Source organism: Homo sapiens, chromosome 15, assembly GCF_000001405.40.
Source record: "Homo sapiens chromosome 15, GRCh38.p14 Primary Assembly".
Taxonomy (NCBI): Eukaryota; Metazoa; Chordata; class Mammalia; order Primates; family Hominidae; genus Homo; species Homo sapiens.
Genome location: NC_000015.10, coordinates 101,315,944 through 101,338,805, shown reverse-complemented (window position 1 = coordinate 101,338,805; position 22,862 = coordinate 101,315,944). Strand labels below are relative to the sequence as shown.

General features: G+C 51.0%; 1 protein-coding gene and 1 long non-coding RNA gene across 4 annotated transcripts in view, besides 2 other annotated features; one reads left to right on the top strand and one right to left on the bottom strand.

Annotated features, from left to right (window-relative positions):
* The window catches only part of PCSK6 (proprotein convertase subtilisin/kexin type 6), a 185,775-nt gene that overhangs the window by 150,902 nt on the left and 12,011 nt on the right, over positions 1-22,862 (top strand). For 2 of the 3 annotated variants that reach the window (NM_001291309.2, NM_002570.5), the window contains 6 exons: positions 6,775-6,954; positions 7,117-7,155; positions 12,327-12,429; positions 13,760-13,956; positions 16,199-16,286; positions 20,384-20,487. In NM_001291309.2, the coding sequence (NP_001278238.1) occupies positions 6,775-6,954; positions 7,117-7,155; positions 12,327-12,429; positions 13,760-13,956; positions 16,199-16,286; positions 20,384-20,487 (711 nt within the window). The remainder of the gene's footprint in view (positions 1-6,774; positions 6,955-7,116; positions 7,156-12,326; positions 12,430-13,759; positions 13,957-16,198; positions 16,287-20,383; positions 20,488-22,862) is intronic. The other variant, NM_138319.4, reaches the window with a different exon arrangement.
* PCSK6-AS1 (PCSK6 antisense RNA 1) lies at positions 1,375-4,369 on the bottom strand. The gene is made up of 3 exons (NR_132373.1): positions 4,293-4,369; positions 1,869-2,028; positions 1,375-1,779 (listed from the first exon to the last, which is right to left on the bottom strand). It is a non-coding gene; the product is annotated as a PCSK6 antisense RNA 1 (long non-coding RNA).
* Positions 4,592-4,651: a silencer, noted in NCBI's record as "silent region_6890". NCBI's record gives its function as "represses an Ori minimal core promoter by ATAC-STARR-seq in GM12878 lymphoblastoid cells {active_cell/tissue: GM12878}" and the evidence as "EXISTENCE:reporter gene assay evidence [ECO:0000049][PMID:35858748]".
* Positions 11,673-12,173: an enhancer, noted in NCBI's record as "H3K4me1 hESC enhancer chr15:101866838-101867338 (GRCh37/hg19 assembly coordinates)". NCBI's record gives its function as "activates a minimal SCP1, AML or CMV promoter by ChIP-STARR-seq in primed H9 embryonic stem cells {active_cell/tissue: H9 hESC(primed)}" and the evidence as "EXISTENCE:reporter gene assay evidence [ECO:0000049][PMID:30033119]".

The window sequence follows — 22,862 nt, the reverse complement described above, 5'->3', positions numbered from 1 at the left end:
CCCAAGTGTTTAAACAGGTGGATTTGTGATTCTTCTACAGGCTCAGGAATCTGATGGCAAAAAATTTGATTGGGCATCTTTTAAGACCCCCTCCTTTTAGAAACTAAGGAACTCATGGTGCTAGTTGGGTATGTACAACAGTAAACTTGAACAGGCTTGTAGAGTATCTTGAATAGTAAATAACACATTCTTGCTAAGTGGTTTGCCGAAAGCAGGGTCAACATTCTAAAATCTGACTGCCTCTGGGTGGCAGTTCTGTTGAGTGTAGACCCTGGTCTGGCCTGGGTTGTCCCTGGACACATCTGCCTGTTCTTCCTCCTTGCTTCTCCTGCACCCATGTGGCTTACCTTCCCAAAGAGAATGTGGCCTCTTGGGGGTGACTGAGTGTGGAGGGGCCGGCCTGGGGAGCCTGTCCTGGCACAAGTGCTGCTGCTGTGGGGGGCCGACACTGTGGACGCAATGAGAGGAGGTGGATGCCTCCTGAAAACTAAAGCCTCCAAGAAGCTCATTCCTGTGTGTCTCTGCCTTAGTCTGTTATCCTAAGTCACCCATAAGCATCTGACTCTCCTGCCTCAGTTAAGCTTGGGCTGTGGTTTGGAGAAGGGACTGTGTAGAGGGGGTGATTCTTATCAAGTAACTGATTTGCCCAGGTGGCCTGTGGTCCCTCGCCTGGGTATTTTGCAGTCAAGCCTCATGGGACACCAAACACTGTGGCGGGATCATGTGGCATTGCCGTTCATGATAGACATAAGTTTACAGTTCAAGATAAGACATTAACGTGTTGTATCACCTGACCCAGTGGTTCCACTTTCGGGACTCTATTGGGAAAAAGTAATCCAGACTGCATCAAGTAATATTTCTGTCAGATTTATGTATTTCAAAAAAGGGAACTGGACTAAACGTTCTGTCATAACCTATCATAAGAGGTTGTTAAACAAATGGTCACGTTCACAGGGTGAAGTATTTTGCTGTAAAAAAAAATGTTTTAACAGATTCATTCATTCAGCAAACATTTATTGAGTACCTACTGTGTGCCCAAAAGTTGCTACACACTGAAGCTAATGCACCAAACAAGAGAGACATGTTCCCTGCCCCCGTGATGCCTCTAGGCTGAAGGAAGAGAAAACAGTGAACAAGAAAATAAATAACGTCGAATGCGATTAACATGATATAATGCTAAGTGGAAAAAGAAAGAGAAAACAGGGTGCTGTGTGTTTTCAACTATGCAAGAAATACACATGCATAGGAAAGAGCCCAGGAGGAAATATGCCAAAAGAGTTATAGGTGATTTATTTTTATTTTTCTTTAAATATCTCAACATTTAATAATTTTTATTCTAACTAGGGAAAAAGTAATTTTAAAAAAGAATCACTCTTCAAATTTATGCCATACACTTTATGCCATAGGTATGGAATTCTCATTTTTACGTCTTCCAAAGGCAGGAAAACCAAAGTGACTCCCTTGGTTGAGAAAGTGAAAAAAGCATTTAAGTACTAGAAAGGGGAGATAGGCCAGGTGCAGTGGCTCATGCCTGTAATCCCAGCACTTTGGGAGGCACGCGGATCACAAGGTCAAGAGACCAAGACCATCCTGGCAAACATTCTGAAACCCCATCTCTACTAAAAATACAAAAATTAGCCGGGCATGGTGGCGGGCGCCTGTAGTCCCAGCTACTCAGGAGGCTGAGGCAGGAGAATGGCGTGAACCCAGGAGGCGGAGCTTGCAGTGAGCTGAGATGGTGCCACTGCACTCCAGCCGGGCAACAGAGCGAGACACCATCTAAAAAAAAAAAAAGAGAGAGAGAGATAAATGTCTCCCAGATTACCATTGTCTAAACCTAACCTTAGGTCAAGTGTCACAAATCGCACCTATTAGAAAAGGAAAGGTCTCTTTTGGAGGCACATGCAGGAAGGGGTTGCTTTGGTCCCACTGCTTCTTCCCTGCTGGCGTTTTTGGAGCTCCCAGCTCTCAGCTCCGCAGGTTGTTAGCTCAGTCAGTGCCTGGCCCCTCATAGGCTGTCATGAGTATCTTGCAGATCGAGAGAAAGAACAAAAATACAAACCATGTGTGAGCAAAACACCATTTCATTCCACTGGCCCTTGTTACAAATGCAGCTAAGATCTGCTTCTATGCATCTTAGACGTCTCATCCCTTGTTCCTAGCAAATATCTTTGGTAAATTTACAAGTTTATAAATTGCTTTTAATTTTATCAAATCAGAAATTTGTCTTGCTCTTAATTATATGAAAAGGATGCTCCGTTTCTCATATAATGAGAGAAATGCGACGTTAACCTTTCTGAGTTATCGGATTGGCAATGTAAGCCATAGCTGCAGGCTGCAAGGGAGCCCGTTCCTTTTGACGTGTGACATGTGACGTGTGACGAGTTTTACGTCTAGTAATGTAGCCTACAGGTACACATGCACACAGCTGAAATGACGTGTGCAGTAGGTTTCCCTTAATGGACAGCTCCTGCGTGCCAGTCTCTATTCTAAGTGCTTTACCATCATGAAGTCATTTAATCTCCAAAGCAACCCTGTGAGGTAGACATTCGGAGACGTTATTATTATCCCCACGTTACAAATGAGGAAACTAAGGAACAGAGATGAAGTAATTTGCTAGCAGGGGCAAAGCCAGGTTCCAGACCCTGTTGTTCCAGGGCCCTTGCTCTGCTCACCTCAAGTAGTTGCTCCCTATGTGACCAAGGATAGAGCACTATTTGTGTAGTCGTGTGCTGCAAAATGACATTTCCATCAGTAGCAGACCCCATATTCAATAGTCATTGCATAAGATTCTAATGTCGTATTTTGACTGTACCCTTTTTATGTTTAGGTGTGTTTAGGTACACAAACACTTATCATTGTGTTACAGTTGCCTACAGTATTCCATACAGCACCATCCTGCACAGGTTTGTGGCCTGGGAGCCGCAGGCTGTACCCTATAGCCTAGGTGTGGAGTAGGGGTACCATCTAGGTTTGTGTAAGCACACTCTATGGTATTCACAAAACAACAAAATCACCTGCATTTCTCAGGAGGTATCCCCATAGTTAAGCTACACATGACTATAATTGCCAAAGTTTATAAACAACCTAAACGTCCATGAGTAGGGGATTGTTTAAGTAAACAACACTACATCTCTCCTGTGCAGCCATGGAAGGATCATAAGGATACACTGTTAATGGAAAACTCAAGGTGCAGAAAGTGCTAGCAGGTGTGTTACCAAAAAGGATGGGGAAACATATGTTCATATTTGCTTGAATAAGAATAAAATGCTTCAGAAATGATACACAAGAAACGGGGAACCAACATTGCCCATGGGGAGGGAGACTTCGTCATATGCACTTTTATACTTTTGCATTTCTGAGCCATCCTTGTATATTACTTATTCAGAGACAAAAATCAAAACCCCGAGTACTACTGCTTTTTAATGGGGTTTTTTGACCATACAACCACTTTATTCATAGATTTTAAACATTAAACTTTTAAAAAGTTTTAATGTTTATATATGAACAGGTAACATATGTTGTGGTTTTAACAAAAAGTCAAACAGGCTGGGCGCGTGGCTCACACCAGTAAATCCTACACTTTGGGAGGCCAACGTGGGAGGATCGCTTGAGCTCAGGAGTTTGAGACCAGCCTGAGAAACATAGTGAAACTCTATCTCTACCAAAAATACAAAAAGTAGCCGGGCGTGGTGGTGCACACCTGTAGTCCTAGCCACTTGGGATGCTGAGGTGGGAGGATGGCTTGAGCCTGGGAAGTTGGGGCTGCAGTGAGCCATGATCGTACCACTGTACTCCAGCCTAGGCAACAGAGTGAGACCCTGTCTAAATACACACATACACACATACACACACACACACATAAAGTCAAACAGAGAGTGTAATAATAATGAAGTCTCTCTTCCATTCCAGTCCAGCCTCCTCCCATGAGGCTGCCTGTCTGCTGGGTCCCTGGGAATTCTTCCTGCTCTCTTTTTCCACACAGTGCACACCACTGACCCTGAGTGTGGAGCAGCCCCTCTTGTTTGTCCCACCAAAACTATATCTGAAAATAAAAATCCAGTTTTGGTGACCAGGCCTTTTGTGGGTGTTTTTGGAGACATCCTCTATAATTGAAATAAACTTCAACTCAAATGATAGCCTCTAGAGCCCTTGGTCCCTGTCCTACCATCATCACAACCCCAGCCAATCTCAGTGCACCACTTGGTGGTTAAAGTGCTCGGATTCCTTTGTGGTCGGAATGTGGCTGTAACTGGACCCTAAGGAGCTGAGGAGAGTCAGAGGTTCCTCACCAGGCTTGTTTTCTGCACCTGCAGTGGTGAGAACAACTTCCTGTGTCACTGCTGCAGCGGTGAGAACAACTTCCTGTGTCACTGCTGCAGCGGTGAGAACAACTTCCTGTGTCACTGCTGCAGCGGTGAGAACAACTTCCTGTGTCACTGCTGCAGCGGTGAGAACAACTTCCTGTGTCACTGCTGCAGCGGTGAGAACAACTTCCTGTGTCACTGCTGCAGCGGTGAGAACAACTTCCTGTGTCACTGCTGCAGCGGTGAGAACAACTTCCTGTGTCACTGCTGCAGCGGTGAGAACAACTTCCTGTGTCACTGCTGCAGCGGTGAGAACAACTTCCTGTGTCGCTGTCACCACACACGTAGGCTGGGTTAGGAACTGTGTCAGGGAGGGGGAGCTGCTGTGGGGCTTAATGAACCGAGCCCTGTGGAAGACCGTGTGCTAGAAATGCTATGCTGGGGATGCTGTTTCATGTAGGAGGGCCTTGCTTACCTCTTCCGGCCCTGTCCAGGCTAAGGGAGGCTTGGGCAGTACAGAATCTGACTTGGGACAGTGTGCAGGCTCCAGCCTTTTGCAACCTAGTACTTAGCCAGTTGAGGCTGTGGTTAAAATGAAACAGGGCTGCCACATGCCACATTGTGTAAATGGGTCAGTGTCGAATGCCATTTCGAATCGCACCAGTGGGGCCAGTCCCGCCTGTCTTTCACCTGCCCGCCCACCCACCCAGGATGGTGTGGATTACAGCCTATGGGCTTATGGTATGAGGATGAGCAGGAGCTCCTGTTCTGGAATTTAGAAACGCTAAGAGATTTCCAGAATTGGAACAAAAAGTAAAGTTGTACTGGCAGAGGGGCCTGCATTGCAGAAACAGTGCATAGGCAGGTATGTAAAGACAGACAGGCTGCCATTTAGAGCCAGCGGGTGGAGTAGCGAGCATGGGCAGAGGTAAGTGTTGAGAAAACACAGTCAACAGCAAAGAATCAGAGCAGTATTCTTCCTCCCCGAAACCATTCTGATTGCCAAGAAACCCCATGGCAGGAAAGGAAGAGGAAGCAGGGATTTTTCAGCCAACAGAGACATTGAGCCAGCAATGGCCCTGTCCCCAGCTTGGGTCGCAGGAGACAGTCATGAGGGCCCACTGAGGGGGTTCACAGCTGAACATGTGTGTGCATGTGTTTCCTATTGAGCCAATCCAATTAGAAACAAACATTGAAAGGCTGGGGCGTCCGGGAGCCCCGTCAGCATGAGCAGCTGTCCTTGGGCAGGTCACACTGGCCCCTGGCCCCCTCAACTATGTGGGGTGATGACCTTCTAAACAGTAACCCTGCTCTGAATTCTGGGGATGCCGTGGTTAAAAAAAAGAAGAAGAAGAAGCTTAAACCAGTGGCCAGCAGCAGAGTCGGCCTGCAGATAGGCGTTAATTAATTGCATAGATGCTCTTTGACTTACAAATTGCAAGTTGACTTATTTCGATGATATTTTCAACTTATGGTGGATTCATCCCAACATAGCCCCATCATTAAGTCTAGGAGTGTACTGAATGCATCTGGCTTCCACACCATTGTAAAGTCAAAAAATTGTAAGTCAAACTGTCATAAATTGGGGACTGTTTATAATGTGTTTTATAACATCAGGAATTCACCTGGAAATTGCTACCAGGATTTTCACTTTGCTTGATACCTGAGAACAGACAGCTGCATGGGCCATCGCTCCCTGTGGAGCTGTCGGTGGGGCGGGACCCCAGCTGCCCCCATGTTGGCTGGGAGCTCTCCCATCAGCACTGTCTTTCCTGTGTCTGTCTGTCTCTGATGTCCCCCATGGAGCCTGGTGTCTGTCTACTCATCCCCCTGCTTTCAAAGATGTTCTTCCTCCACCCAGCTTCTGCAGACATTTGGGTTTTTACCAGCACTGCTATCCCCCAGAACATCCCTCACTGTCCTGGGCTAGCTGTGGAGGAGAGAGCCCAAGACTGAGTCTTCCCATGATCTAGGATCAAGGATCCAAACAGCAGGACTCCTCCATGCAACCCAGTTATCACACTTGGATGCTGTAGGGCAAGACTCACAGCCAGGCCTGGCACCAGATTTACCCACCGGATATCCCAAGACGGGAAGGTGGCTGCTGCTAGGCATCGGGGAGGCAGCATCGAGGGAGGCTGCAGTGAGATCAGCAGGGCAGAGGACAGCCTCCAGGACAGTGGAGAGTCCAGCCCGGCTGACCTCCATCCCAGCAGGGACAGGAAGCGGAGGGCAGCTCGATAGAACAGGAATAAAAGGGCACTGGCTTGCAGGAATGAGACACTGGGGGAAAGCAGCATGTGGCCTGGGCAATAGGTGCACAGCTGGCCAGCAGGTAACCAGGAAGTGAAGGTAGCAGGCCAGAGCCCAGCTATCAGGGGAGGAGCCAGGCAGCATCTGGCTTATTTCTGTGAGTGACAGAGGTCTTGGCACAGGCAGGTAACTCTGTGGGTTTGGTGCCTTCCAGGGAAGTTGAAAGAATGGAGCCTCATACTGTATGGCACAGCAGAGCACCCGTACCACACCTTCAGTGCCCATCAGTCCCGCTCGCGGATGCTGGAGCTCTCAGCCCCAGAGCTGGAGCCACCCAAGGCTGCCCTGTCACCCTCCCAGGTGGAAGTTCCTGAAGATGAGGAAGATTACACAGGTAATGAGCCTGAAGTAAGAGGAGACGGCCAGCTTCCACGAGCTTTGATTGTCCAGAGTAGCTCTTAAAATGTAGGGCTGCTCCTGGCAAAGGTGGGGCTGATGGTTGTGTGTCTCTCTTGCCTGGGAGTCATAATAATCATGGCAATTTGCACTCACACAGCTCAATCCACCCCAGGCTCTGCTAATATTTTACAGACCAGTAAGTATGCTTCAAACCAGTAAGTATTTTCCAACCTTCCCAGCTGGGAGAGCAGGGTCTATATGCCCAACCAGAATGGGGTCTTGCCCCCTGGTAAGTTAGCCACTTCTAGGAGCACCCCCTTTCCAAAGGCCCCCATCTCACAGCTCAGCCTCCTGACTCCCTCAAGTACATCCACTTTCAGTCCTTGAGGTCAGGATGTGGGAAGGACACAGTTACTCCCAAGGATCCAGGAAGGTTGGGTTCAAGGAGCACAGCTGGGAAAGGACTTCGTGGCAGAGATCCTGACCAGCCTGGAGGCCTAGGGTTAAAGACCCAGAGAGGATCTCAAGAGATGATGTCAGCAGATACTGATGCTTCACAGATGCCTTGAAAATCTTACAGCATCTAAAAAGGCCCTGCATGAATCGTTTTTCTCCAATCATCCCATTGCCAAGGTGGGCCCTGGTTTGGGGCCGCCAGTTCACTCCACAAGGCGGCCAAAACCACAGCTGCCCAGAGAAGCTCCAGCCACTGAGCTGGACATGGCTTTTATTCGTTTGTTAGACTAGAAGCTGTTCTTCTCCCTCTGAGCCCTCCTGTAGCAATTTGTGTGAGAAGAGGTATTTCTGGTTGGACATATTTTCCTTAGCTAAATACTACGGCTAAATGATAAATGATGGGTGATATCTAAGAACACTGATGCTTTAAGTTATCTAATATCTTCTGTGAAAAACAAATAACAAATGGAAAATTCCACCAACACATATCAAGTATAAATTACGGTCAATTCCATTTTAAATTTCTTCTACTATTCCTTTAAAATAGAGCATTGAATTATGTATGGACTAATCTGCTCTGTTTCCCCCTGTGATTTATAAACTGTGGCAAGATTCAGTAATTATTAATAAGGAACTGATTTTTTTCTTAAAATCTGCTACTGACTTCAGCCTTGCACAATGGAACCTCACTGTGATACCATTCTGCAGTCCAGCAGTCTACTGAGCAGGGATTAGGTGGAGAGAGGGGGTCTCCATGGGAAGGAGATGCATTCCTGGCTCTCAGAGAAGCCCCCTCAAGTCTCAGGGGTGAGTGGGATGGGCAGACCAGAGACAGCAGGAGAGCCTATTCAGAGACCAGGACAGAGTGACAGAGGAGGTGAGAACCAGACGGTGCCAGAGTATGGAAGCCAAAGGAGGAGGACGAGCCACGTTAGAGTCCAATGCAAGGTCAGGTGGATATGAGACGGGGTGTGCGGAGCCGGCCATGGTCATGGTGCATCAGGAGTGACGGGCCCAGGCCAGTGGAGGCTGCACCTGGACTCTTTGGGCAAGAGAGCAGTTGCCAAGAAATAGAGGAAGTGAGCGAGGGGGACGAGGGAAGCCTAGGGAGTACTTGCAAATGGCCAGGGTCCCAGGACAGCAGCAGGCAAGATGGTCCCTGGAGAGGAAGGTTGAGGACCAGAGCATCTGGCTGGGAGAAAGGGCAGCAGCTGCAGTGGGCAGCGTGGGGCACAAGGAAGATGTCAGTGCTGTGGTTCTGAAGGTGGACAACTTTGTGGTGACAGCCAACCTGCTAGGCCAGAGCCGTCTGGTGGCCAAAGTGCAGGTGGAGGCCACCCCAGGGACTCCGCAGGGTGCTGAGTTGAGAGCAGACCCTGGGCTGTCCCCCCGCCCAGAGACTGGGATTCAGCAGGTGTGGGACGCCTGGGGGTCTGCACCTGTAGCAACCACTCTTAGGTGCCTGCAGGCACCGTGGGCTTAGGGAGCTGGCAGATAATGAAACCAGCGAGGATGGGGGCAGGAGGCAGGGAAGAGCTTGGGTTCCTGCAAGAGAGTGGCTGGGAGGCCAGGACATTACTGGCATGGAAACACAGGGAAGCCTGGGCCTCAGGAAAGAAGCCATGGTTGAGCAAAGGAAGCTGAGTGGGCTGAGATCAGCTCAGGACACTGTGGTCATCCACACAGGACTGCAAGGGAAGCCAAGAACCCACGTGGCATCGTCTGGAAGACGGAGTTCCAGGGCAGCTCCACCGGTACAGGAGACAGTTCACAGGATGAGGGTGATGTCTGGAGCAGGACCATGTGTGCTCACAGGCTCAGCACATCCGTGCTTACTCGACAGGCTCAAGCAGAGGCCCAGAAGCCTCAGGTCGCTTGCTCAGGGCACAGCAGTCAGGAAGGAAACCAGACTTGTTCTCAGTGTACTCTTATTCTCGTGGGCACCTCTTGTCTGCAATTAATCGGCCCAAGTCTTGCATGCCTCTCGGGTCCGATACTGCTCCAGTGAGGTTCTGGTGTGCTGTTCTTGGATGGCGTGAACGGTGGAGAAGATGGTGATACCAAACTCTCCTGTCCATCGGCAGTTGGTCTGAGCGCGCAACGGCAAAGCACATGGAGAACTCCCAAGTTGCTTCTAACATTTATTTGTTTGTGTATTTTTTTAAATCCTGGATTTCCTCCACAAAGGATTGAAGGTGGAGTTTTCAAATAAACCCGTGTCAGTTTAAGCCCATCTAGAGAGGCATCAGCCGCTAGCCAGGCTGTTCAGCACGTGAACGGAGCCCCCCTTGTATGAAGAGACCCCTGCTAGGAGTTACGGGAAGTGACACAAGAAGGCAGTGGGGCTTGGAGGAACTGTCACGCTAATTGAGGCAAAGGGAAAAGCAGACCTAAGTACAAATTGCAACACAAACATCATGGTTGCCCAGAGAATGAGCTGCAGCTGGACCAGAACACGCTCAGGCGGTGGAGTGATTGGGACCACGTGGACAGCAAGGTGGATTTAATTTAAGAACGCTTCATGGGCGAGAGGAACCTGGATATTTGGCTTTTAAACACAATTCAAGTGGACAGCCATACTGGGGAGGTTTGTTTACAGATATTCATCTAGGCATCTCCACCCTTGGATGGGCATCGTCTTAACCTGACCGGTGGGTGACCTCAGTGCAGTGTGGGGGCCCTGCAGCTCTGTTGAATAGCCCCCAACCTTGCACTGGGCTCCTTGCAAAATTATGAATAAGCTTTCCACTGCAGAGAGACCCAGGAACAGGGGTGGGGGGTGTGAAGTCCATACACCCGGACCAGCAGCTGGGAGCACTGCTTCAGGACCCTCCCCAAGGCTGTCCTCCTCCGAGGACATCCTAGAACATTCTGTCTGGAGATGGTGAGGACATCTGCACTTTCCCTGTTCCTAGCCACCCTCCTCTCATCCGCTCAGCAAATAGTGATTGAGCACCTGCTCTGTGCCTAATGCCAGGAATCTAGCAGTGAACACACCGAACCAAGCCCTGCCCGCCCGTCTCCCATTCCGTGTCTAGAAAGAGTGAAAAGATTGGTCTGCCGCCTCCCTGTCGCACTCCTGCCCTCATCTTCTTAAGATGAAGGAAATTGTTCACTTTATCAAGCAAGACAGACCTGCTGCCTCCTCAGGGAGAAGACGCTGCAGGAAAAGGCAGGAGAGAAGTCCTCAAGTCACCACGACAGCCCCGCGTTCGCTGGGCCAGCTGCGAGGGTGGGAAGGCGAGAGCCCAGTGGCTGAGCTGGAGTTTTGGGCTCAATGGGTAATTTAAAGCAATGGTGCGAGAAATGAGGATTTTGGAGGCTGTCCTCATAGATGACCCAGGATGAGGTGGGCAAAGAATCCAATCAGATGGGAATTGATCCAAAATATTATAGTAAACCCTCTGGAGCTGGGGGGAGGAGTTTAGTAATGAGTTTTAGAAATGGTGAGTGGCATCTGGAACCCAGGATACCAGCACCGCCCAGGAACAGCATCTAGAGTGTCCTCGTGGATACACACAGCTCTGAAAGGGGTTCACAGTGGGAACCGGGACACGCAAAGCCCCCCCAGTGAAAACTAGGGAAATAACACCAGAGAGCCTTCGGGGAGGGAAGCCAGCCTCACTGGGTCTAACACTGGCAAGGTCTGGAGACTTCAAGACGAGTGAAGAGGGCTTTGCGTGCCCCAGCAAAACCCCACTGTGGGCAGCAGAGAATGAGGACTTTTGTCTTTTCCTCAAGTCCCCACCAAATGAAGGTGGCCAGCAACTCACTAGTCTTTACTCTTGAGCTCACTCCCCATCCCCTCTCATAACTCACACCTCGGAGGAGGAGGTTTTTCTTCCAGTAACTCAAAAGCCTTCACATGCCCCACTTAGTCCCTGTGTGTCAGAGCTGTCGGGGTCCCCTGGGCCGTTTCCCAGCGTAGGAGGGACAGGTGGGCAGTAGGCAGGAGTCCACCCCAGCTGTAGCTTCAGGCGTCACTCCTGCCGACCAGCGTGGGGAGGACCCCTGCAGCGTGCCCCGCCCCCGCCTGACGGGTAGACCTTTAACACTGGCTTCATCTCTGGGATACCTGGGAAGGACCTAGAGGGTGAGGTTTGCTGGCGTCTACTCAGCTCGCCTGCAGTTCTCAGTTGTTTTTCCAACAACACACCAGCCTCCGGAGTGAGAAGCTGGGGACCCCTGGGAACTTGAGGGAAGACACAGCTGCCGTCCCACCAAGGGCTCCAAGGAAAGCCTAAAGGGGATGTTCTGAAAGGGGCTCAGCCCTCAGCACAGAAAACAGCAGCCCCCCAACCCTAGGACAGCACTGTCTAGCTGTGTCCCTGCCCCACCCTAGACCTGGCCAGCAACAGCCCCACCAGGCGGTCCTGAGCATGCGGAGATCCATCCCCATTCCCACCACAGCGAGTTGCGGGGGGGCTACCTAATTCCTCCTGGCTCATCAGCTTGCCAGCAGCTCCCCTGACACTCAGCACCCCCTCTTGTGTTGCTCTGTCCTCCACGTGGAAGTCAAAGGTGCTGGCTGGTCCCAGCATGATGACTGGTGCAAGTGAGTGAATGAAACAGCTGTTCCAGCCTCTCCCTCCCCGCTACCCCTCCAGGCTCTCACAAGTCCCATCTCCTCCCTGCTCCGGGTGGCGTACCCACCCTGGATGTTTCACTCCTTCTCATGCCATCCCTGTCTAGAGTGCTCAGACTGACACTGGAGCCCAGCGAGGCTCAGCTGTGCCTGTTACCCGCAGGGACGGCTGCTCCCGCCTTGTCGTCTGGCCGTCCAGCCCCAGCGGGGCCTGGGAGCGTCTCCCAACCCTGCCAAGCTGCGATATCCTGACACAGGGATCCGCGGGACTGCAGTAGATGGAGAAGGCGTCTCTCTGGATGAAAGGCAATGCTTGTTTCTTTAAGGTGTGTGCCATCCGGAGTGTGGTGACAAAGGCTGTGATGGCCCCAATGCAGACCAGTGCTTGAACTGCGTCCACTTCAGCCTGGGGAGTGTCAAGACCAGCAGGTAATGCATGTCCCGCAGCCCTGTGGCTCACCACTCAGTGACTTTCCAGTTGTATCCTTAGCCCCTCCATGTCCTGATGCCCCAGTTAGGAAGTAACGTAGCACCCCCAAACAATCATCACACTGAAGTTAACTGCTTTGGAGTTTTTAAATTTTTAGTAACTTGGCATTCCTATCATGCAAGTCATACATGTCCATTACGGAGAAATTAGAAGCTGTTGCACGTTGGCGTCCGTGCTTATAAAGCCTTTTCTATCTGTGTTGTTAAAGAGAAGTGGGTCATGTTGGGCGTGCCAAGGCTGCCCCAGAGGGCCTGGAGACGGATGCGATTCAAGGCCCTGGTGCTGTCCTCACAGGCCAGCTCAGGGGACATGGCTCTTGGACAGGCTGAAGCCTGTTGATGGTCTTTCTTTCAGTGTCTCTGGACTCTGGCTGGGTGTGGGGCTTTCACAGAAGCTCTCCTGGCACCTCCCCAGAGAGCCCATGAGGCTGAGTTTACCCCAAGGGAGGATATCAGGAGCTCTGACCTGGGACCCCACGTATATGGCCAGTTGCCCGGTTCAGGCTGACCCTTCTGTGATGAGTGTGCCCTCCTGTGTGGCCTCTGCAGTCAGGCCCTGGGCTCTGTCCACGGAGCTGCTCCAGCTCCTGGCATCACCACTTTCTCAGATTCTCTTCCCTGCCAGTCCTGCAGCTGCCCTGTTGTCCATTCTCATTTCACAAACTTCCCTGAGCACCCATTATGCCCCGCATGTGCCAGGCCTCAGAGGCCACGATGACAGGACACTGCTAGGCTCCCCAAAGGCCTGGGTGACAGATGCACCCACCAACCACTGGTGCACACCCATGAGGGCTCAGGCACGGGTGCGGCCGTGCAAGGTCAAGCCGGGTGCCCATGTGGCTCTCGTGGCGTCCTCGAGCTCCCAGCCACAGCGCACTCACTGGCCAAAGTGCAAAGGCTGTCACCCTGCTGGCCTCACTCACTGCCCACAAGACTCACTCCCTGAGGGCGCCCGAGAGAGGGTTTTGCCAGAGCCGACAGTTCCAAAAGTCAAATACGAACCTCACGATGCCCTTGGGAAACCATGCGCACCCTCAGGACCTTCCAGCAGGGCCAGCTTTGAAAAGAAAGGATTCCCAGGTTCTATGCAAGGCCTCCAGCCTCTCCACCTGTGTACGTAGGAACCTCAGAACTGCACTCACCAAGACAAAGGGCATCATGTTTGACATTCACTCCTGAAGCCTTCGTTTCCTCAGAGGAAACAAAGGGGCAGGCCTGGGGCTGGGGCTGGGTTGGCAAGGCCCTCACCCTCCTGCCTTTGCTCCTACAGGAAGTGCGTGAGTGTGTGCCCCTTGGGCTACTTTGGGGACACAGCAGCAAGACGCTGTCGCCGGTGCCACAAGGGGTGTGAGACCTGCTCCAGCAGAGCTGCGACGCAGTGCCTGTCTTGCCGCCGCGGGTTCTATCACCACCAGGAGATGAACACCTGTGTGACCCTCTGTCCTGCAGGATTTTATGCTGATGAAAGTAAGTGGCTTGTTTGTGGGTACAAGAACTGATGAGCCAGCCCCAACTTTCTGGGCCCGTGTCCTCTCTCCAGGGAGAATTTCCCAGCCTTCTGCTTCCGTGTATTTTGTTGTTCTGAGTAAGGACTTTGAACAGGGAAGGAGGCAGAGATGATGAAATCAAAGCACCCAGACCTGTTAGTTAATAGCACTTCCCCACAGACCTGGCCAGGAGAAGTTCCAAGTGATGCTGAGAGACATCCTGGCTGTCCAGGGAATTTCACCCACCTGCAACAGAGTCAACGTCCACTACTGAGCAAGGGCAGAGAGGTGGCTAGGGCCAGCCACTCTTGAACTCAGTCTGATTTCAGGTATCAGAAGAGGAGGTCCTGCTGTCTGTGCTGTAATTTCTCCTCCAGGAAAGACTATGCCATCGGCTTCTCTGTAACACAGGATGTGTGCGCTGGGCGTGGGTCAGGGTACATGGGATTGGTGGTCAGAGCTGGGGGAGAGCCCTCCTCGGCAGAGCTGCGGAGATGAAATTGGGAGTCAGATGTGGGCGGAAGGTTTGCAGACCTCCAGACATGAAAAGGAGCTGCTGACCAACGTCAGTTGGGCTCGGAAGGGATGGGTTTGTCTTTGCCGGGCATTTCACAGGTGGCAACCGCACCCCTGAACACTAGACAGGCAGTGTTTTCCTCGTCCTACAGATGGGGAATCAAAGCTGAGCAGGGGCAAAGGCCACAACTAGTCATGATGGAGGTGGGACTCGGACTCAGAGCCGCAAGGCCAGGTGTCTTGCTGTCCCAGGAGGGTGGGGGCTGGACAGGAGTTGTAGGCCCAAGACCCCATGCCATGTTTTCGTAATTCGCCTCGCCCTGGGAGACACAAAAGCAGGGCTTGGGTTAAATTGACAGGGGATAGTTCTCAAACACATTAAAGAAGCTACCGTTTGGCACTCGTGGTCTTCCAGGTAGCAGGCCTCCCCACGGCCCTCCTCTCTGGGCCCTTACTGCTCAGGATGGGTCATTGATCCGGCCTGTCATGGCACTGCCGTTACCCCTGTGGACAAGACCCAGCAAATCTTAAAAGACGTATAAAGCCATCAAATAACAAGACACCCCCTTTTTTTTTTTTTTTCGAGATGGAGTCTCACTGTCTCCCAGGCTGGAGTGCAGTGGCATGATCTCAGCTCACTGCACCCTCTGCCCCTTGGGTTCAAGGAATTCTCCTACCACAGCCTCCCGAGTAGCTGGGCTTACAGGCATGCGCCATCACGCCCGGCTAATTTTTTTGTATTTTTAGTAGAGATGGGGTTTCACCATGTTGGTCAGGCTGGTCTGAAACTCCTGACCTCAAATGATCCATCTGCCTTGGCCTCCCAAAGTGCTGGGATTACAGGTGTGAGCCACCTCACCCGTCCCAGACTCCCTTTAGCGGGGAAACAAAAAGTCATGCAAGACACATTTCACAGCCTTTGCAAACGCTTGCCCTGGGCTGCCAGCCAGACCTTTGCAAAGGACGGAGGCGCCTTCATCCCCACCCCCTTCCCAAGGGCACAGTTGGCCGCCCTTCTTCACCCCGACATCCTCACTCAGCACCTGCTTTATGGCGTATGATGCCACCTGTGGGGGCCCTGAGGGGGACACGTGCAGGTGTGGCAAGCAGCTGTTAGCTCCCAGGCCCAGAGCACCCCAGCCACTTAGGAGTGGTGCATGGTGGTGTTTCATGAGGCGCCAACCCAGATAATAAGTTATGACATTGCAGGTGGGAGTTGGGGTGACCCAAAACTTCCCCAAGAGGCACGATGACTCGCCGTAGGTTCCTGTCTCACCATCTAGAGCAGCCAGATCTTCATACATAGGTTTCCCTGAGAAAGCACCGTGGTGGGCAAGCGGCAGCCTCAGGCTCTCCACCCCCCACCTGCCCACACCCGGCCACTTTCATGAAGATTTCCACCTCGTTAAACTCTACTCAGCCCACCAGGAATTGGCCTCCATCCCTGTTGAAATAAGCAGAACCACCTCAGAGGCCTGGTGGTTGTCTGAGGACCGTTTTTACCTCAGAAAGGGGAGGTGAGAATTCTGTGACCCCACACCAGGTACAAGCGGCCTCTGGCTGCTTTATTTCCACCCATTCCGGAGGTGGACTCGGGGAACAGCCCACCCGCACCCCCGCTTTGAAATGCCGGGGGCCTGCTTGCCCAGATTTCATTCCTGTCAGTGTCGTCCCTTCTCTTTTCTTATCTCGCTATTTTTCTCCAGGTCAGAAAAATTGCCTTAAATGCCACCCAAGCTGTAAAAAGTGCGTGGATGAACCTGAGAAATGTACTGTCTGTAAAGAAGGATTCAGGTAAAACCCCCTCGAAACCTGAGGAATGTCAGGGCGGTGGCGCTGCTTGGAGTGTGTTATGGATTTACCACGTTGGTGCATTTCTCCTAAAAGCTGAACTGTCAGAGGCCCAAAGCCATTGAGGGTAAAGATTCCGAGTCCTGGAAATCGTGTGTCCACTTAGGATGGAAAGGGAGAGGATGGGCGGAATCTCTACATTTTACACAACATGGGCGAATTGGGCAAAGCAGCACTTGATCACATCACGTACAGCACAGGGCTGTGCCCAGATCCGCCTCCTTTCGCTCCAGCACCTCCACCTGCTCCAGTTCCCCTCGCTGTCTGGGCCGGGGATGGGCTGTAGCGGCTCACCCACCCTCTCTCCTCTGCATCCCTCGGTCTTCTCTTTTTCTCCCAGCTCCTGACATCTTCACGGCTTCCTGAGGGTGCTCTTTACGTTCCTGGTTCTCCCTGTTCATCAGGCTCAGCCCCATAAAGCTCAGCATGCATTTTCTTTAAAATCATTCTACTGGGTTAATGATTGTTCTTGGAATATTTTGAAATGTTTCTTCAGCCCATTTAATGCAACCAAACTGCATTTAATGCAATCAAATATACATTACCTGTTCCTCCGAATTGCTGTCTAAAATCTTAGAACATTCTGTTCAAAATTTTTTGGGGGACACTCCCATAGTAGGGAGACTAGCACCATGGTCCGCACTGGAAGGATCACCTCATGTCCAGATGCAGGTTCTGATGCAGCAGGTCTGGGCAGAGCCCACGACTCTGCATTTCCGCAGGCTGGCAGTGGTGAGGATGCTGCGGTCCAGGCAGGGAGCTGCTTTTGCAGGGTGAGGCGGTGGAGGGCTGCAACACACCCCCAGCCCCGTCTCCCTTCTCAAATGCTGTGAGGACTGGAATTCTCCATAGAAGAAGTTTCTTTTTTGGAGTAAAGAACAAAGGAAGAAAACTTACTGAGCATATCTTCTCTTATTCCAGGGGCTTGCACCAGTGTTGCCTCATTTAATCTTTGCAGCAACCTGTGAAGTAGACATAATTCTTACTCGCATTTTACAAACAGGGGAGATGAAGTTTCCCCAGGAGGCACTATGCTACTGCCTTCATTTCCTTCAGCCTGCCTCTTTCTTCCAGATCAGAGTACTGGGGAGAAGAGGACCCCAAGCAGCTAGGAGTCCAGGAGAGGGAAGGCAAAGCAAGGCTCCCAAAGTCATGCATCACATCTGCTGTCATTTAAACCTGTTGGCTGGACAAGGCAGGATTAGGAGTGAAAGGATGAACTGGCCCAGGAAAGGGATCCCCCAAAGATAAAAGAGTTGGAAGAGGAAGGAGGCATTCCGCTGGCGGCCTGGGAGAGGCCAGCTTTGATGTCCCAGGCTCTGCAGGTCAGGCAGCCCAGGAGTGGATCCTCAACCCAGGCTGGTAGCTGGGGGCATCAGGAAGAGGAGGCTCTGTGTTCCCAGCTCCCTGGAACCTGCCTGTTTCCCAGCAGAGAAGTGCTGAGGGGTCCCCGGGAATGCATTTATGCATCCCGTCCCATCCTGTAGGAGAGGGAAATCGGATACTCAATGTAGGAATGGTGTGCTAAAGAGAAAACGCCTCCTGTCGGTAGCCCCGCCACATAGAGGCAGTGCTTCCGTCACTGACGAGCTTTCAGAGAGGCGTGCAAACTCCAGACGCATCGCCAGCCGTCAGCCACAGAGAGCTTCCGTTTATTGCCCAATATCCTCTTAAGCTGTGACTTCTAATCACTGCAGTCATGTTAAAGCAGCAAGAGAGCAGCCGAGCCGCCGCCTCTGGCCCTCCATCTCTTCAGGGGGATCAACACAGGAAAGGTTTGCAGGGGAGTGTCAGTTATAAAGACATGATTTAACTGCCATTCGCAGTGGGCATGGCACCATGAAGAGGAAGGGCGCCGGGTGGGTGTCCGCCATCTATGCAGAGGAGCTTGCCAACATACAGACGTCTTCCTGCTAAATGCAGGTGTAAGAGATAGGAAAAACCAGTGTTTTCTCCTACTCTCACACACAAAATACAACACACTTCACCTCTGGTAGCCAAAACGTGTGGGTTTTTCCCCACACACCAAGCAGTTCTCCAGTGAACCGTAAGATATACGTAATAAATATATAGCTCAGGCTGAACGCAGTGGCTCACGCCTGTAATCCCAGCACTTTGGGAGGCCGAGGCAGGCAGATCACTTGAGGCTAGGAGTTCGAAACCAGCCTGGCCAACATGGCGAAACCCTGTCTCTACTAAAAATAAAAAAAATAGCCAGACATGGTGGTGCACGCCTGTAATCTCAGCTACTCGGGAGGCTGAGGCAGGAGAATCGCTTGAACCTGGGAGGCGGAGGTTGCAGTGAGCTGAGATCGTGCCACTGCACTCCCACCTGGGTGACAGAATGAGATCCTGTCTCAAAAATAAATAAATAATAAATAAATAAATAGCTCAATTCTGACGCTACTAGATGTGTCAGATCCTACAAATTGAGGGCTCAGCCCAAGACTGCCCCACTTTGATGTCAATCACGAGTCCCACATGGTAGCCTGTGCTTCTGAGTGACCAGCCATAAATCGGACTTGCCATGACCCCTCCTTGGGTTCGATTAATTGGCTAAAGCAGCTCACAGGGAAAGACTTTACTTACATGTGCCCATTTATTACAAAGGATATGGCACACAGCCAGATGAAGAGATGCGGAGGGTGAGGTTTGGAAGGGTTGAGCGCTGGACCTTCCATCCCTATGGGGCTGGGCTGGGCTACCCTCCCAGGATGTGGTTGTGTTCTTGTTCACCACCCCAGAGCTCTCCAAACCCTGACCTTTTGGGTTTTTATGGAGGTTTTGTTACATAGCCATGATTGATTACATCATTGGCCATTGGTGATCAATTCAGCCTTCAGCCCCTCTCACCTCCCAGGAGGGAAGTCAGAGTAGTAGGGCTAAAAATTCCAAAGCTCTGATCAATGGTTGGTTCCCTGGCAGCCAGCCCCTGTCTAGAGGCTGCCCAGGAACCCCCAGCTATCAGTTATTAAAGACATTTAGCACTTTGATAATTCCAAGGGTTTTAGGAGCTGTGTGCCAGGACAAAGACCGAACATATATTTCCTTTTTTTTTTCTTTTTCTCTTCACATATTTCTTATTATAAATCCCAGTGTCATAGCAGGAGTCTCCGGGTCTGACAGATGCACCCCAGAGCCCTTGCTCAGTATGGCAAACCCATCTAGAACATGTACGTCACAGACTGTACACAGTATAATCTCAGGAACTAAAGAGATAATAGTAGGTGATATTGATTCACACTGCTGTGTGCCAGACACTGAAATGTTTATGGGTATTAGCTCATTGAGTCCTCCAAGCAACTTTATGATGTAGAAACCAATTAACAGGAAGGGAAACAGATGTAGAGGGGCTGGCTGGCTTGCTTGGGGTCGAACACTGGGAAGGTGGCAGAAGCCATCCACGTGGGTGGTCTAGCTCAGCATCTGTGTCTCTGTCCAGCACTCGGCTGGCTGGAGTGAAGTGAGGGCACAAATGGGGCGAAAGAGGAAGGTAGGGGCTGCATCTGACAGGCCTGCTGGGGCTCCAGAGGGCGTCTTATTTCAAGTTCATTGCGAAGCTGCAGAAGGTTCCAAGGTTTCAAGCAAGAGAGGCAAGAGCGGGTTGGGGTTCAGGGCCAGCCTTGTAGCCGACAGCCCCGTCACACGCCATAAATGCCAACACTTCAAGAGGGACTTGACACTGAGACTGAGCTAGCGTGCCACCAGTGATGACCCACACAGCTCCACTTCTCTTCATGGGGTTTGGATTCGAGTTGGAGAAATGACAGTAAGAAAAAGCTATCACTGGGTCAAGGACGGAGCCTGGCGCCTGCTGCCTGGTGATGGGAGCTTTGCTTCCCAGGGCCTTGTACCCCTTCCTGCTGGGCCCCCAGCGGACTGCGGGATGGCTTTCCCGACTTTCCTTAGCTGAGAACTTTCGGTGACACAAAGAACTGTGCCTCAGCCACTTACATCTCCTCTTGGGAAAGGTGCTAGAGGGCAAGTCATAATTAGACTTTTGGAATGGATGTGGAAATCTGCCTCTTTCTTTTCAACAGCCTTGCACGGGGCAGCTGCATTCCTGACTGTGAGCCAGGCACCTACTTTGACTCAGAGCTGATCAGATGTGGGGAATGCCATCACACCTGCGGAACCTGCGTGGGTGAGTTCACCGCCTGCGGAGGCCTCGGGCCAGCGTCACCCAAGCGTAGGCTAGCTGCCTTGAACCCGAGAAAGCCCTAGGACTTCGTGGGCTTCTGCATTTATTGCAGCATTAAAATGCAAGGGCAAAACAAGGTACAAAGGCCCTACCAGGGACTGGGGGCCGGGAGAGTGGGGATTTAATGTTTAATGGTTACAGAGTCTCAACTTGAGAAATGACAATTGTTCTAAGGATAGATGCTGGCAATGGTTACATAACAGTGTGAATGTACTTAATGCTGCTGAACTGTGTACTTAAAAATGGCTGAGATGGTAGATTTTATGTACATTGCAGTGGCTCATGCCTATAACCCCAGCACTTAGAGAGGCAGAGATGGGAGGACAGCTCGAGCCCAGGAACTCAGGACCAGCCTGGGCAGCAAAGCTGTGAGACCCCGTTCTCCACAAAAGGAAAACGTTTTGTTGGAAATTTTTTTTAAAACCATGTTTTTAAATTTGAAACAAAATCCCAAAACAATGCAAAGGCCCACTTTGAACACGCAGCCTGAGGTTCTCATTAGAAACCCAGCCAGGCAGTGGCTTATTTCAGATGGGGAAAGGGATAAGAGATGCTCACCACTCATAAGCCATCTTGTCTCAGAGCTCAGCTCTTGCTGTGGAACGGCGCGGACAGAAACACAACACCATAAACATTGAGAGGGCTTTGGGAGAGGCGGGAATGGATCCAGGTGGGGATGGGGATGTTTTCAAACATAGCCTTAGTTCTTTGTGCCTATCTTCACTTATTTTGAACATTTTTTCAAAGAGGAAAAGAATTCTATAAACAATTTTACATGTATTATAATTGCCCACAAAGATGATGGCACAGATGTCTCCCAGGCACAGTTTTTATGCAGAATAGCAGAGAATTCATTCATTTTATTGGATTTTGTTTTGCAGAGCTATTTGCACAGTAAGTTGAAGTGCACCATCAGTCTGTGGGCTCGGATATGTTTTGGGTTAAGTTTTCTCCTCTCTCCTTCCTGTCCTTGGTACTTTGGTCCTTTCTAAGAAACTCACATCATATGAGCTTTTTCTGCAGTAATACTTTAAGAATTAAGTCTCTACTGGCCGGGCACAGTGGTTCATGCCTGTAATCCCGGCACTTTGGGAGGCCAAGGCGGGTGGATCACCTGAGGTCAGGAGTTCAAGACCAGCCTGGCCAACATGGTGAAACCCCATCTCTACTAAAAATACAAAAATTAGCCAGGTTTGGTGGCAGGCGCCTGTAATCCCAGCTACTGGGGAGGTTGAGACATGAAAATTGCTTGAAACCGGGAGGTGGAGGTTGCAAGGAGCTGAGATCACACCCCTACATACTTCAGCCTGGGCGACAGAGTAAGACTCTGTCAAAAAAAAAAAAAAAAAAACAGAATTAAGTCTCTGCTAAACCAGTTTCCATGATACTACTGTGCCTCAGAAATCCTGCAGAATGGGCACACCCCTCCCCACGTGGCCGGCCATGAGCACCCCATGCAGCTCCCTGCCGTATGTCCTGGAATAGACAGGCCTGATGAACAAGGCTGTGGCCAAGGCCAGTGTCCTCCTATGATTGCCAGGCTGACCTCAGACCACCCAGGGGAGACATGTCCTCCTCAGTTCCCTCCTGGGGCAGCCCTCAAGGCCACAGTGCTCAGCATCTGGATGGGTTCCACCCGCTGGCAGCTCAGCAGATTTCCCCAGCAGTTTGCCTGTCGCCTTTTTGTCTATTATTTTTATTATTTCTTTGACTTATTTAGCCCAGATGGATTAGGCAGCATCACTGATGTTGCTTATTTAAATTTCGTAGTCACTTGAATCCATAACATTCAGGCATACAGTTTTGCAACTCTTTGATTTCAATAATTCACTTTTCTTTCTTTGAGTCCCCAGATTGCCTGATGGCAAAAAGCTTTATAGAGTCCCTTGGAATTCTCATCTCAAACCAGTGACTTCTCCATCACTTCAGCTATTAAATTCATTGGTGAGCAGGTCCACAGCTCTGGGGGTCTCCCCTGCGCCCCATGCCCTCTGGCCTGGGGTTCTTTCTAAGCTCCTGGGAACGTGTACATCTATCCCCTGGCAGCCTCTTGGGAGAGAGACCTCATTTTCCTCCTCTGAGTCACTGGAGGCTTCTTGTTCCATGTCAGGTGTGGACCTCATTGGAGGCAGCTGTTCTCAGCTGCCTACTTCCTGTGCCCTGGAGACCCAGGCCCACCTGGCATTCCCCTCCCTGTTCCCATTCAGTGACCACTGCTGTCCACCACCCACCCAGGGGCCTGGGCACAGTCGTGGGGAGGGTCGGAGTCAGGCATGAGTGCTTGGGGTAGGGCATGGCGGAATCTGTCCCCACCCTTG